Here is a 15,830-nt window from a genome sequence, read left to right on the forward strand (position 1 = left end):
TTGGAAACATCCAATCTTTTTTTCTTCTAGTTATTTCCCTCTTTGATAATAAGTACAGCCTGTTTCTAAACCATTATATGGTCCTTAGGAATATTTTTAGAACAGTAGTTACAAGGTAGAAAAAGTAACCCCCAGCCCTGAGTTAAGGTTTATTTTAAGGTCACAGAATGCCAGGCAATTGCCGTGATTTACCTCTCAGAATTATGGACTCTGTTGTGTTTCTTCCTTTTTGTCTAATTTAGGGAATCTTATTTGCTTGGAATGAAAAGGATTTGCCAGCAGGAAGACAGCCACAGATGGCAGTGCACATTCTGTAAAATACAAAAACAAAACAAACACCAGAAAAAATAAATCCAAGAGTCTGATCCCATAAATTTCTGCACTAAGGAGCAACTCCAAACTGCACACCAAGCTGCTTTAAAAGGCGTTTGTGTTAAGCCTTAGAGTGTTTTATCACATTCGTGATATTTGATACAGAATACGTCAGACCAAAAGCCACATCCTAGGATCTTCTTTAAAATATCATTAAAATAGATGAAGCATTTTAAGATGTAAAGTTTCATTTCCTAAGGGATCCTCTAGTTGTAAAGATTGCAGCTAGTTGTTGTTGTTATTATTATTTGAGATGGAGTCTCGCTCTGTCACTAGGCTGGAGTGTAGAGGCGTGATCTCGGCTCACTGCAACCTCCACCTCCGGGGTACAAGCAATTCTACTGCCTCGGCCTCCTGAGTAGCTGGGACTACAGGCACGCACCACCACACCCAGCTAATTTTTGTGTTTTTAGTAGAGACGGGGTTTCACCATGTTGGCCAGGATGGTCTCGATCTCTTGACCTCGTGATCCGCCCGCCTCAGCCTCCCAAAGTGCTGGGATTACAGGCATGAGCCACTGCGCCTGGCCACAGCTAGTTATTTTAAAGGACTTCTAGTAGGTCCAGGCTAGATTCTCAGCAAAGTTTGCATGGTATGTGATGTGTGGTGCATCTCACCCCAGAAAGGACCTGGGAGTCCTTCTGTAAATTGCTAGCAGGTGAATTCACAGCATCCACTGTAACCTTAAGTTATCTGGTTCTCTGCCCTAACGCTAACCTGCATCTGACACTGGGAGGTCCTTGACCAGGAATTCTCACAGCTCCTCCAACAGGGAAGTGGGTAGGAGATGGAAAATTCAGAAGCAGGAGTGGAGGGAAGGGAGTTAACACCCAATTCTCCACCTCCCCCAGAACCAAGGCCAGGATTGTCAAGAATCCAGGGTTGAGAATCCCCTGCCAAGCTGGTCCAGTGGATTCACTCAGGTTGGCAGAGTGGCTGAAAACCAGCCCTCTTAGGCACGTGGGTCTTCTCCCAGATATATTAGGAACTAGATGGAACTTGGCACTTGGGATCACTCAGTGTAACAACCCCATACCCCCATTAGACTTGAGTATACCCAGCACTGAGCTAGGAACTCACTCAGGCTTCCCGTCACCACATCGGACACTTTACCACTGGCCACAGATTGGTTTCTGAAGACCTCTTACCTCCATCGTTATGACTTCTAAGTTGATTTCTGTCTATATTCCAAGTTTCCTTTCTATCATCTGGCCATAAAATATTTTTATATCTTCATGTGCAAAGAGTTATGGATATAAAGAACTTTTTAAAATTACATATATCATCTATTCTGTTTTCTACCTAACTACAAGCTGATCATTGGTTTTCTTTACCACCTGCAAGCACTTAAAAGTAATCATTCCTGCTCTTATAATTACATCTGAATTATTTCTGAACAGATCCCTTTTCTCTCCTTATGCTAAGACTGCATGATTAATGCATTTTTATCTCTCACACTCAGTCTTTTTATTATGTTATTTGTCTTTTTCCCTCTTCAGTCACCAACACAGTTCACACTTAATCGTGTGAAGAAAAACTATCATCCCTTGCTTGCTAATGTGCATTTTCCTGCAAAGATCCAAATTCCACTTTTCCTGCAAAAACACCAAGCGCATTTATGTATCTCAAATCAACTATGGTATTAGTCTTACCTATTTTTGCCTGGTCATTTTAGTTGTATCCCACCTTTTGTTTCTACAGTGTTTTCATAGAAAATCAGTTTCTACAGTGTTTTCATAGAAAATCACATTGTATCCATGATTTTGTTGAGTCAAAGGATATGTGTGTTTTTAATTTTGATACTACTACAAACCATCCTCTAATGATATAATCCGATTGACAGTCCAGCAATCTATGAATACCTTTTCCCCACATCCTCACCAAAACAGTGCATCATATTATTCTTTTAAATGTGGCTGTTCTATATGAAAAATAAAATTTTCTTGTTATAGTTTGTATTTCATTAATTATGAGTTGGGTTAAGTATCTTTGCATATGTTTATATATCATTTATATTTATTTTTCCATAAACTCCCTCTTTATATTCTTTGCTCCAATAATTATTTATATCTTTATATTCTTTCCTATTGATTTATAAGTATTCTTAATATATTAAGTAAATTAGTATTTTTAATGTTTTCCTTGTTTCATCTCAATTTTTTTGAATTTATGGGATTTTTTTTTCCATGTAAAAGTTACTAAATTTTACATGGTGAAATGTAAAGTGTTTTATGGCTTTTGGGTTTTGTGACATACCTTCTCCATTTAGAACTTATTTTTTAAATTATTCCATGTTTTTTATAATAATTTTGTGTTTTATTTGTAAGTTCTACGTATTTTCTTCCCTGGAAATTTATTTGGGTGGAAGGTGGAAGGTAAAAATCTCACTTTATTTTTTCCCAAATGGCCCACTGTTCCAGCCCCATTGGTTGAGGCTCCATCCTCTCCACCTTTACCATCTTCTAAATTCCCTTCATTTCTGAGTCCCTACTGGACTCTCTGGTCTATTACATTGATATGATGCCTTGTGACATGGGAGCAAACTGCAGTACTTATCATTGAGCTTTTATTATCACATTTAGTGGCTCATAGAGCTAATTTCCCTTTTTTTCTGAGTTTTTTTTCCCAGAATTTTCCTGTTCATCCTTGCACATTTGCTTTTCCCATGTGGATTTGAGAATTTTAATCATTTTATTGGAATTGTTTAAAATTTTTACTGGGATTAAGGTTTATGTATAAGTTCATTACCTGGTGATGCCCAGTTACACCATGCGTGTCTTCTCCATCTCTCTCCAAGTTGCGAAATGATTCAGATAAGTGTCATCCAGATTTTAATGTGCTTAGAATCACCTGGGGGAAATTAGCAAATGCAGATTCAGCTGGTCAAACATGGGATTAGAGATTCTGCATTTCCAACAAGCTCCCAGGTGCTGCTGATGCAGCGGGTCCCTGGAACACACTGGGAGTGGCAAGGAGATAAGCAGCCTTGAGGCACTGCCTCTGGTAGATTTCATAGGTTTCCCCTGGAAAACCACTTGAGCCCACTGCTTCTTGTGGGAGCAGATCTTTGACAACTCTCTCAAGTTATTTTATGATAATCTGTCTAATTAGATTTTCTTTCTCATCTAGGATAATACCCGTTATTTTATCTTTTTCTAGAAATTCGTGCATTTAACCTAGGTTTTCAAACTCATTACTGTGGAGTTGAACAGAAACTTGTTAATAATTTAATTTCCATTCCCTTTTTCGTGTTTTTTATATTGAATGTTTCTGTTGACCCCCCCCCCTTATTGATTAGATTATGTGGCTTTTTTTTTTTCTTTTCTCAAAGAACCAGCTCTTAGATTTATTTGTCAATTCTTTGTTTTCTTTCTACTGTCGTGTCTTCTTTAAATTTATATTTGCTGGCCTCTAACTTTCTAATTTGAATGTTTGGCTCTCTCTCTTATTTTCCTTCTTGGTGGGGTGTGTGTATCATGGTCTTATAAGAATGTGAACCGAAGTCAACAAATCTTAAACTCCAGCCATGCTCTCTTCTGACCACACCTCTGCTGCCCCAGCCCCGCCTCCAGGACTGCACCCTCCAGATGTAATTGACACCAATGGCTTGCACTAGACTTTTTGCTAAGGGACCTGAAAAGAACTTAGAGGCTGGCGTAAGTTGCCAAAGCCTTCCCACATCACTGAGAGAATAGACTTGGCAGGCTTGTGTTTTGAAAAGCAGTTGGGGGTGCGCTCTGTCAAGGCTCAGCCATGATGAAGAAATAATCAAAGAGCAAAACGTCACTTAAGTGGCTAAACATGACTGGCAGCAGGGTTGGATTCCCCTTCAGCATCGAACACCTCACAGGCCATCCTCTGTGTAGACGGGCTGCTTTCTAGTGGCTCCACAGGCCTGGCCGTGTCAGGGGCTGCCTTTATTCAAAGACTTCTGTTCTGTCTTAACCAGGATCACTTAACTCTCTGAAACTCCAGTGATAAAAAAGCAAAACCGGCACAAACATACAGCTTTGGAACTATCTCCAAGGTCATTGTTTTTTCCCCTGCCGCGAATTTCTTTCATTCCTAATTTTCCTCTACCTTTCTTTCCCTTCATCCCCTACGATAGATTTTGAACCCCAGGGAGGTTAGGACTCTGTCCCGTTCTTCTCCCTGGGCTGTCCACCCTCCGACCCCCACCCCACCTGGCATGGCACTCAAAGGTGCATTTTCCTGGGGTCTGTGCATGGAAATCATTGCAGCTGTCAGCCTGTGTCACGTGGGGCTGGCTAAGTGCGGGGCAACGCGGTTGTACATGTTGCCATGGTGACTTCTCTGTTGATGGCAGAACCACTGACTCCAGCAAGTCACAGTATTCATTTTTGCGTCATGCTCGTGCTACAGGAATGCTATGAGTAGCCCATGAAAAGGGAGGCGAGTTGAGCTCAGTGTTATCCCTTGACTTGTGTGTCTTTCCTTACCCCCAGCGATCCCCCATTCAGATGCTTCCTACTGTACCGCATTTTTGAGTATTCTTCAGTATCATGCTTCTGTTACAGCACCATATCACTCAGCTATGGAAGCACTCAGAGGAGCACAACACCCTCTAAATTATCCGCCATCACTTCTTTTACGGCCTCATTTAAAAAGACAATTGTCAGAATTCCCAGGTGTGAATTCTCACAGGGGAATCTCTGTCAGTCACCACCTGGAAATGTTAGTTCCACCTCTGCTGGCCAATCAGCACCTCATGTCCTTGCTATGATCTCTACAGTTGCAGAAGCATTATCCTGATGAGGTTTTTAACACATCACCACATGCTTTTCAGAGAAAAGTCCTTTTATAAATACCAATAACTAAACATGATAAATTGCTTCACTCCTTTGAGATCTTTGTCTGATTCCACGTGCTCTGCATAGACTATTCAGAAATTCTAAAGACGGATGCAGATTCCTAATTCTGCTGTTGAGTTTGTTCCTGAGAGCAACGCTGAAAGACTTTTAAAAAATTAAAATCAGCTTTATGTTGAAATGTAATTGTACATAAATAGCCATATGAATGTGGGGTACAGTTATTTTAAACATAGAAAATAAGATGAATTGTTTTGGAAATTCCCCTTTAAACATGCTAAAATGATTTTCAATCATTGACGGGAATTTTAACTTTTAGAAAACTGGAAAGGATACAGACAAAAGTAGTGATAACTTAAATTTGTAAACTATTTTATTTGTTGAAATGCTTTAATGCATGATTTTGTTTTATCCTGGAATGGCCACATGTGGTAGGCAAAGTGGACATTATCAGCCACATTTTAAAGATAAGGAAAATGCAGCTCAGAGAAAATAAATGTATTCATTCCCTCAGCAAACACTGACTGGGTGGCCACAGAAGTGCGGTGCACAACCCTGGCTGCACATCAGTCACCTGGGGAGCTTTTCACAAATCCCAATGCCTGTTCCCCATCCCAGAGGATTCCTGGTGTGCATCAGGATTGTGAAGCAATGGGGACTGAGTTTATAGCACCTTACTCTAAAGTATGCAGAGACTAGCATTATGAAGTGGAAAATGCATATATTTCAGATTCAGTTATTTTTTTCCCACTATTCCTTCCTCTCAATGAAAATTTTGGAGTAAAACATATAATTCCAGTTCTTTATTCTGAACTGTCTTACTATTTTCTATCACCCTTTAAATATAATGCAGAAGTCTGGAAGGATATGTAATTTGCATACCTGTTGGTGAAATCCCTGCTACTAAATACACTTTGCTTTTTCTTGTTCCACATTCCCCTTTTCGACAGGGAATAAATCATCCCCAAGGCTGCTAGAGCCAATTAAATATTTTTTCACACTCCGTTGACATGAATGAGAAGAACTGTGACAGAGCCACACGGCTCATGCCAGGACTTTATCACGCTATCTTTATAATGATGTGAGCCAGGCACCAGGGAGGAATGGTGTGGGGAACCATCAGGAAGCTTTAATAACCAAGGATAATTTGTTTCATCAGTTTCTCCTTGATGGCCATTTGCCATTTCACCTGTCAGGAAGCAAAACTAGTTGTCTTGTGAGATCTCAGGTTAACTCAAGAAGAGAACAGCTCAGACAACAATGGAAGCATATTTAGCATGGAGCTTTTATACTCAGTTCTCTGAAGTCAGCCTTCTTGGAAGAAAATACATTGTCTTGGGATTGGAATTATAAATTTCCCTTGTGCTAATGCAACCGAAAAGAGTATTTCAAAACCAAGAGCCGAACTGGGCATTCATAAAAGACTTAAAATATGTGTAGAATTAATTTTTAAAAGCACTTTAGGTTTGCCCATGCCCCCCTTCTAACCGCACAGTGGAGACAGAATCTGGTCAGCTGTCTGTGGTCTGGGTGACTCCACCATGTTCTCAGCAACGCTCCTCATCTATGTATTATACTAGTTTCTGAAAACTTAAGAATAAAAAGGATCAACCTCACATTTTGATGAAATAGCAGTTACAACACAAACATCCCATGCCTATTGGCAGAACTGGTCCACAGAGCACAGAAGCACATTCATCGTGTAAAGCTGAAAACAGCGTCTTCTGCAAGTTGAGATACCGAGGTTCCAGCAGAAGATAAAAAGCATTTAAAAATATTTAATTATTCACTGAACTCCTTTGAAAGACACAGGATGACAAAGCAGATCAATAATATTCAGCCATTTCCAAAGGGTCCATCCACAGCCAAAGTATGGCCTTTGAATTTACTAGAAATTTCCACAGAGGGAGAGTAAAAGGAATCCCTTCATCCTTGCTTGAGTCCTAAAATAACATGCGCCTAAGTATTCTCACAAATGATGAAGCGCATCTCTTGAGTAGACTTAAGGTGATAAAATGTTATTTTCACTGAGCTCCCAAGCCATACATCATGGAAGTCCAAAGCCCTTACTGATAATTGCATAATGCCCAGGGGATGTGTTTCTCTGCAGAAGTCTGAAGACAATAGATCCAGGGTCTCCTGAAGACTTTCATCTTATGAATTGTGCGAATCCCTGACCACTGCCTAAGAGGAAAGGTGAAATACATCAGAGAATGTCCTTAAAAATATCCCTTTTTGACTTACTATAATTGGTTGCTTTCCTCTTTTAACTATCATAATTTTCTCAGCCACCCTCTCCCTAGAAACTGGGGCTATTTCTATGACTCAGCAAACAACCAATTCTTGCTAATACTGCTTTGCTAATAAGGAAACCACAAGTTCTCTTAGCTGAGACTCCTGTATAGCAGGTGTGTTCACAAAACTTGGTGAGCACCCATATCTGAGACACAGCATTCCATAAAGCCAGAGGCAGTCACCGAGGCTGTCTGACATACCATAATATGCCCGTATGGCTTCAGGCTTTCCACCCTGATCTGGCTGTATCCCGCATTGCACCCATGCAGCAGCAGAACCAGCAGTAAGAATGTTTTGTCAAAAAACAAATCCATAAACTTCAAAAAAATCCACGGTACAGTATTTTTAAAAATACGTCTAGCCAGGCGCAGTGGCACGTGCCTATAGTCCCAGCTACATGAGTCCAGGAGTTCAAGATCAGCCTGAGCAACATAGCAAGACCCTGTCTCTAAAAAGAAAATTTTAAAATGCATCTGTTCTCTCTCATATATGCCTTTAAACGCATCCATAGCATCAAGAACCTAAATGCCAACATCCCAATATTTTTCCTCCCTGATAAACTTGCTTTAGAGATTCAACTTGTATTTTTGCTTTGAACCAGGAAAGGTATCCAAGGTCATACTAAGATAACCATTTATTAAACTCTTTGGCTGTTTTTTCCTAAACTGTAATAAACTCCCCCTCTCCAACATTCAAAATAATAGTAAATAATTCTCTCTGAAATTAACACAGTGTTCCTATTATTGCTTTCACAACACTAAAAAGAAATAGAACTAACGGAGTCGAACTGTGGGGCATTCTGGCAGGCAAATCATTAAATTCACACAAATGATTCGGCCAAGGGAAAAAGGACAAGGTTCTCAGAAGGAATTATTTCAGCTCCCTCTCAGACACTGCTTTAAATTAAAACACACACACACACGAGCAGCTGAAGACCTGAGTCACCAATGGTCTACATTAAATTTCTGCAACTGAAAGTCAGGCAGGTATTCAAGCACTCTGGGAGCCTGTTAGAAATACAGATGCCCAGGTCCCCCACCCGAGACCAACTCAGGCAGAAGCAGCATTTTTACCAAAGCTCAGGGCATCCGTATGCCCCTTAATGTTTGAAAGGTCTGAATCAGAGTGCTCTCCCCCAAAGGCATCTCAGACTGAGATAGAAATTGAAGAAAAAGCCTAAGGAGGTTCAGCAACTTTTTCAAGGCCGAAGAACCCACCAGTTACACAAGTGCAGAGCCCTTTGTCCCTGACATTCAGAGCCCTGCATGCATAGGAAGTGACAGCCCCTTCCGGGGCACCCTGCTGCCGCCACGCGCATTCTGGAAACTGTGCAGCAGGAGAAACAGCGTTTTCCTTCAGACCGGGGTTTAAATGGCACTTCCCGAATTTATATTCCCCTAGATTTGGGGCTTCTTCCTTCTTGCACTCCTGTTAACATCAGCATGAATTCATAAACTCCCTGCAGCGGAAAGGAAAAGAAGCCGCGACAAACCTCAACGAAGAGCCGTACGGCACTGTTAACCAAGTGCTCCAGTCCTGCCCCAGTGTTTACAGGAAATTGGTTCCAGGACCCCCAAAGACACCCAAATCCACAGATCCTCAAGTTTCTGATAGCAAATAGTGTGGTAAATACCTACATATAACCTACACACACCCTCCCATATACTTTAAATTGTCTCTTGTAGATTACTTGTAATACCTAATACAACATAAATGCTATGTAAAGAGTTGTTGGCCAGGCACAGTGGCTCACGCCTGTAATCCAAGCACTTTGGGAGGCTGAGGCAAGCAGATCACGAGGTCAGGAGTTCGAGACCAGCCTAACCAACATGGTGAAACCCAATCTCTACTAAAAATACAAAAATTAGCCGGGCATGGTGGCGCATGCCTGTAATTTCAGCTACTCAGGAGGCTGAGGCAGGAGAATCACTTGAACCCAGGAAGCAGAGGTTGCAGTGAGCTGAGATTGTGCCACTACACTCCAGCCTGGGCGACAGAGTGAGACTCCGCCTCAAAAAAAAAAAAAAGATTTGTTATGCTGGATTGTTTAGGGAACAATGACAAGAAAAAAATATCTGTACGTGTTCAGTACAGCTGAAACTTTTTTTCCCGAATATTTTTGATCTGAGTTTGGTTGAATCCACAGTTGGGGAACCCGTGGATGTGGAGGGCCAGCTGGATAGCTGCTCCTGGCAGTGAGGCTCTCTGATCCAGACTTTCAAGGTTCACCCTGAGAACTACAGTAAGATACATGAGAGAGTCCTGAATGAGGAGTCGAAAGACCTCGTCCTCGTAGCAGCGACTCTGGCACCCACCAACCATGTGGCTTTCACCTAATTATCATCCATTCTGCATTTTTGCCTCCTTAACTGTAGAGAGGTTGTGGAACTACAGAATCTATAAAGGCCAGCTGTCACAATCAATACTTTACAAGTGCCCACAATATTTTACAATAACTTTGACCATTGATTTATAAACAATTATAACCAAACATTAGGACTGGAACAATTTGCCCACCTGAGAAATAACAAGACATTTATCTCACATGAAAATGGACACCAAATACCTTACCTTCGTGTTTATTTTATGAAATACAAAATCTGAGCATATATTAATAATGAGCTATTTTTTTCTTTTTTCTTTTTTTTTTGAGATGGAGTCTTGCTCTTTTGCCCAGGCTGGAGTGCAGTGGCACAATCTCGGCTCACTGCAATCTCCGCTTCCCGGGTTCATGCTATTCTCCTGCCTCAGCCTCCCGAGTAGCTAGGACTACAGGCACCCACCACCACACCCAGCTACTTTTTTGTATTTTTAGTAGAGACGGGGTTTCACCGTGTTAACCAGGATGGTCTCGATCTCCCGACCTCATGATCTGTCTGCCTCAGCCTCCCAAAGTGCTAGGATTACAGGCGTGAGCCACTGTGCCCGGCCTAATGAGCTATTTTCAATTAAAATACCTCTTTATCGTTAATCAGACAAAAGAGTACAATGTCAGCCTACTCTGAGAGCATTAAGAAATCTTTTTCCTGAAAGGCAATTGAGACAATTCAGAAGTTAACTAAGTAACTGATGGAAAGAGGGAGTACAATGGAATCAATTGCCCACTCAGTCCTTTCATATAAAAGTTGGTTTAAACAATCATAACATATAGCCGATGACGACAAATTTGTTTATTCTGTTTCTCTTCACTCGACCTCTTTTGGTCACTGGATCTTGGACAATCATGAAAGCAGCTGCCACTTTCTCATTCCTTTAAGAAGCTGGAAATGTAAAGCTTGTTTAACTTTTCAAGTCAGGAGCCAAAAAGTCACAATCACCTTCCCCTGTTTGAAATTGGAAATGCTGGCTGGCTACTTTTTTTTTAGAAACTAGGAAGTGAAGGGTAGAGAGAGAAATGTGAAACTCAGGATCATGTCAGTACATGCCACATAATGCTCTGCCTACGGAAAAACCTGCTGACTTAGAGAAATCGCTCCCTCCCAAAAATGTGATTAGCAGGGATCCTCTCTTAAAATAAAACAATGTCCCTTATATCTTCAGCATCTTAGTCGATAACCATTTGTTTTCATATCTGTTTCAGAAATATCAATAGTGAATGGCTAAAAACATTATTTAAGAAAAACAATCATTTTCTGCTATATAACTCAGATTTGAAAACAGAATAAAATGTAATAAAACAAAGAAGCTAAGAACAAAGGCAGAGATACCTCATCTCGCCCGGACCCACTGTAAAAATAATGTTGCAATTTAAATTAAATTATAATTAATAGCAGCAGTTTTGTTGAAGTGTCTCAAATTATTACTTTAGATGCTGAAACTCCAGTGGTTTCCATGGAGATATTTTCTCTAGGAGATGTCAGATATGATCTAATTTTTTTGTCTCTGATATATGACAACCTGAAGCTTCCAGAGCCTTTCATTTTGGGGGGTTTTATGTTAGATATTTCAATTTATTTTTATATGCACTTCAATATGTTTTGTTTGCAATTGGTTTCTGAGCCTAAATATTTTGAAACTTAGTAAATAAGAACCACAACCACCAAATTTATCTTCTGTAGTTAAAAAAAAAAAAAAACTTTACTCTCTCCTTATTCACTAGGACAGACAAACATACTTCTCCTTGGGTGAGGAGCATAGTAGTGCATATGTGTGTGGGCGCTAAAGCCTTAGCCAGGATGTTTACTAAGTACGTTCCTGGGAGAAGACTCTCCCATCATCAATTCCTCCAGCAATATGTCCTGCCTGGCCTGTGCTTGGTGGAGGAGGGGAGGAGAGCTAATCTCTGAGTGGTGCAATGGAAACATGGTCTACAAATATAGGAACACGGATGACTACACACAAGGGCACGTGCAAGGGAAATATGCAGAAATATGTGGGCTTTTATAAGACTCTAAATCAGACTGGAATGGCACCATGCTTTGGTGGTTAACATGGAGTGTCATTTGGGGATCCGCAAGAGAAGTATGTTGAATAGAGTCTGTGCTTATTTGATGAAAGACTGGTCTTGAGAATGTTATAGCTAGTCTGTTTTAAATTAACACGCCAAATTTGGACCTACTCACTGTTTCCCAAAGTATAGGTTCCTTGATACTCCAACACCACTAAAATTGTTCAGCTCTCCCAGCAAGCTGGGTGAGGGGAACGTGGATGTTAGCAGTAGAATAGGTGAGCTTTATTATCCATGTCTCAGTCATGTTTCTTGGTCTCCGTTTTTCTCTGTGCGCATTTCCAAGAGGATGTTTGTTCCCAGGGGAAAGGTCAGTGGCAATAAAATGTATCTATCAAAATAGCAATTGTGTTGATCGCCAGAATAAAATGGCTTTGCCTCAAGGGGGTAAGCACTCACATGCATTAGGACAACCAGGCTTACAGCATAAATAAATCCAGGAAAATAGGAGTGCTCACACTAAACAAACAAAAGATTTTGCCCTTGAAATGTATAAGGATTCCTGACCTGAGGATTTTCTACAAGTTATTTTCTAACAATAACCAAAGTCCAGCGGACTAGGAGTCACTAATATATTTTCTATATTCAATATGTCCATCTCCTTTGTTAGGAAGAATAAGAAACCTGCCTCACTGTAAGGATTTAGTTGAGACTAGGCATCTGACTTTCAAAATTCTACCTGCATAGAAGGTTTTGTTATCAGAAGAAGCTACCGATGTTTACATACCTCTTAATCAACTGATTTTAATTATGCCAGCCAATGAACATCCATTTAGCCCTTGCTACTGCATTGTTAGTCACTGGAACTGCAAACATGATTAAGATTGGTCTCTGACTTGAAGAGGATGACTGTCATGTAAGAAGTCACAAGAATTAAGATTATTCCCATTGAGAAAAGGGACACACAGTCTGAGGTCGCTGAGGATACTTTCAGGAAAGTGGTAAGATCTGATGGACAAAGAAAAGGATAGTAAACCAGATGTCCAGACAGAGTGCCATATGGCAGAGAAAAGGTGTGTCAACTGGAGGCATCAGGAACTCCTATGAGACGGGAGAGTTCCCTAGACCCCTTCACTGGACTTGCAACAGGGTACAGCTCACTCAAACCTTTTGCGGGACGGCGAGCACACAGGCAAGTGGGTGCCACCGCTGGGGTGAACGCTTTTGGTCTCCAGCCCCACAGCAGCATCTAGGGGTATGTTACAATTAATGCTGTTTTAACAGTTACTGTCTGGGGATGGCTAAGTGTTAACCAGCTCATTGGAGACAGGGTGACAGACTTTTACCCCCTGCCCTCTTGGTACCCAGGTCCTTGTCTGGCATCCAGGAAGAATCAGGTCACACAGTTTTATTGAGTGATGGAGGTGGCTCTCAGTGGGATGGGGAGCTGGAAAGGGATGAAATGGGAAGATAATTCTCTTCAGTCATCCTCAGCGAAACTGCTTTCCAACTGTCCAGTTACCTCTTCAACATTCAGATGCTGCTTCTCCTCTTGATGTTCAGCCGCTTGTTCTCTTCTCTCCTCTGCCACACTGCTCTGCTCCTCTGCCAGTGGAGCTTGGGGTTTTTATGGTTACAGGACTGGGGGGCATGGCAGGCCAGGCTGGTTTTGGAAAAAGCAGCATTTGGGTGGGAAAACAGGGCTGTGAATTTCTCATTTAGGGCTGTGGGCTCAGGTTTGTGTGTGGAACCCTTGCCAGGGACTCCACCCTCTTCTACCCAGTATTTCCCTGCCTCCTGTCCATATCACCTATACCTAGAATGTTGAGTTGGAAAAGTGACCCCAGGAAGGAAGGGGCAGGAGAGAAATCCAGCTCAAGGGAGTCTTTCTTCCCTATGCCAAGGAGTTCAGATTTACACCCAAAACAATCGTGGAATATTTTTAAATGTTCCTCCCTAGCTCTTGTCATTCTCCTTGCGTCATCTCAGGTAACTCCTTCCACTATCTCCGTATGTTCTGCTACTGTTTTTATCCGTAACCTCAAGGGAACCAGATTACCATTGTAATTTTTTTTTTTTTTTTTTTTTTTTTTGAGACGGAGTCTCGCTCTGTCGCCAGGGTGGAGTGCAGTGGTGCAATCTCGGCTCGCTACAACCTCCGCCTCCCAGGTTCAAGCGGTTCAAGCAATTCTCCTGCTTCAGCCTCCTGAGTAGCTGGGACTACAGGCACGTGCCACCATGCACAGCTAATTTTTTTTTTTTTTTTTTTTTTTTTTTTTTTTTGAGACAGTCTCGCTCTGTCACCAGGCTGGAGTGCAGTGGCACGATCTCAGCTCACTGCAACCTCTGCCTCCCAGGTTCAAGTGATTCTCCTGCCTCAGCCTCCCGAGTAGCTGGGACTACAGGCGCACGCCATCATGCCCAGCTAATTTTTGTATTTTTAGTAGAGACGGGGTTTCACCATGTTGGCCAGGATGGTCTCGATCTCTTGACCTCATGATCCACTTGCCTTGGACTCACCGTGCCTGGCCTACCATTGTAATTTTTTATCACTATATTTAATATATTTCGAAGGTACATATTATTTAAAGAAGGTCGGCCGGGCGCGGTGGCTCACGCCTGTAATCCCAGCACTTTAAGAGGCCAAGACCGGCAGATCACGAGGTCAGGAGATCGAGACCATCTTGGATAACACGGTGAAACCCCGTTTCTACTAAAAATACAAAAAATTAGCCGGGCATGTTGGCGGGCGCCTGTAGTCCCAGCTACTCGGGAGGCTGAGGCAGGAGAATGGCGTGAACCCAGGAGGCAGAGCTTGCAGTGAGCTGAGATCGCGCCACTGCACTCCAACCTGGGGGACACAGCGAGACTCCATCTCAAAAAATAAAGAAAGAAAGAAGGTCATGACGGGGCAGGGGATAAGGGAAGACAAAGAAAAAGGAGGTCAGGAAATTTCTGCGTTTATCAAAAGGAGACAGGAAATATCACTCACTCACAAAGTATCCAAATATCTAGTAAATATCTCCACCTGGGTGCCCCATTAGCACCTCCAACTCAATATGTCCAATACAAAACTAATTAATTCCTCATCACCTAAAAGGGCTCCTCCTCCCATAGTCCCAACCCAAGCCAAACTGTCTGCAAGCTGGGACTTCCTCAACCCTTCAACTCCTTGTCCCTTTCTAGCCTTCAAAAGGCAGGGTAGAGAAGATTGTTGACTTTGGAACGAACCCTACACCTGGGTTCTAATTTTAACTAGACTATTCACAAGCTTGGTGACTTTCTAGAAGGATATGGACTAAATAGTGTCCAGAGAAGAGTAATTATAATGTCAAAAGGTCTGGAAAAGATGGGCAGTAACGGTGCAAGTTTTCATTCCTGAAAAATAGCTTTTGGTCTTTGAAGGGTGGCTTATGCCAGGGAATTGTATACATTCATAACCAAATCTTCCTGTGCTTATGGTTTATGGGTAGCATGACTTATCAGGCAATTTACTGTAAATGGACAAGTTCATAACTGAAACCACATCCATGCTTCAGTATATAATCTAAAGACTATATAAACCAAACTCTTCAAGGATGCGTAGAATAAACAGACCATGTCGGACCAAGAAGTTCTCATTAGCTAAAGAACTTTATTCTTTGTCTATTTTATTGTTCACTGTATATCCTCAGCACTTGGAAAGAAGTCTGACATATAGTAGGCATTCTATAAAGATTTAGTGAATAAGTAAATGAATAAATTTGAAGAGAAGATTCAGGTTTAAAAAAGAAAGCCAAGGTTTTTATTCAAGGTTTTTATTATATGTTTTTATATAAACCAGTTTTATTCCCACGGGATAATTTTAGGACTAATCTTATATCTGATGATAAGCCTAATAAATGAAAGATCTTTGCATTCTTGGGCTGACATTTGGGATTGGGAATATTAATCCACACTACCTACCC

The 15,830-nt window shown here is 41.4% G+C and overlaps 1 protein-coding gene and 1 long non-coding RNA gene across 4 annotated transcripts in view, besides 1 other annotated feature; one reads left to right on the forward strand and one right to left on the reverse strand.

Annotated features, from left to right (window-relative positions):
• Positions 1-15,830, forward strand: part of CNTNAP2 (contactin associated protein 2) — a 2,304,198-nt gene that overhangs the window by 2,274,670 nt on the left and 13,698 nt on the right. The gene's annotated exons all lie outside the window — the stretch shown is intronic.
• Positions 1-15,830, reverse strand: part of LOC105375554 (uncharacterized) — a 55,130-nt gene that overhangs the window by 9,833 nt on the left and 29,467 nt on the right. For 2 of the 3 annotated variants that reach the window (XR_928093.3, XR_007060576.1), the window contains exons 1-3: positions 4,557-4,643; positions 3,121-3,222; positions 193-311 (exon numbers count right to left, since the gene is read on the reverse strand). This is a non-coding gene — a long non-coding RNA (uncharacterized LOC105375554). Of the gene's footprint in view, positions 1-192; positions 312-3,120; positions 3,223-4,556; positions 4,644-15,830 lie in introns of those variants that run through there. The other variant, XR_928094.2, reaches the window with a different exon arrangement.
• Positions 4,000-4,636: an enhancer, noted in NCBI's record as "H3K27ac-H3K4me1 hESC enhancer chr7:148092562-148093198 (GRCh37/hg19 assembly coordinates)". NCBI's record gives its function as "activates a minimal SCP1, AML or CMV promoter by ChIP-STARR-seq in primed H9 embryonic stem cells {active_cell/tissue: H9 hESC(primed)}" and the evidence as "EXISTENCE:reporter gene assay evidence [ECO:0000049][PMID:30033119]".

This window comes from Homo sapiens, chromosome 7 (assembly GCF_000001405.40).
Source record: "Homo sapiens chromosome 7, GRCh38.p14 Primary Assembly".
Lineage (NCBI taxonomy): Eukaryota > Metazoa > Chordata > Mammalia > Primates > Hominidae > Homo > Homo sapiens.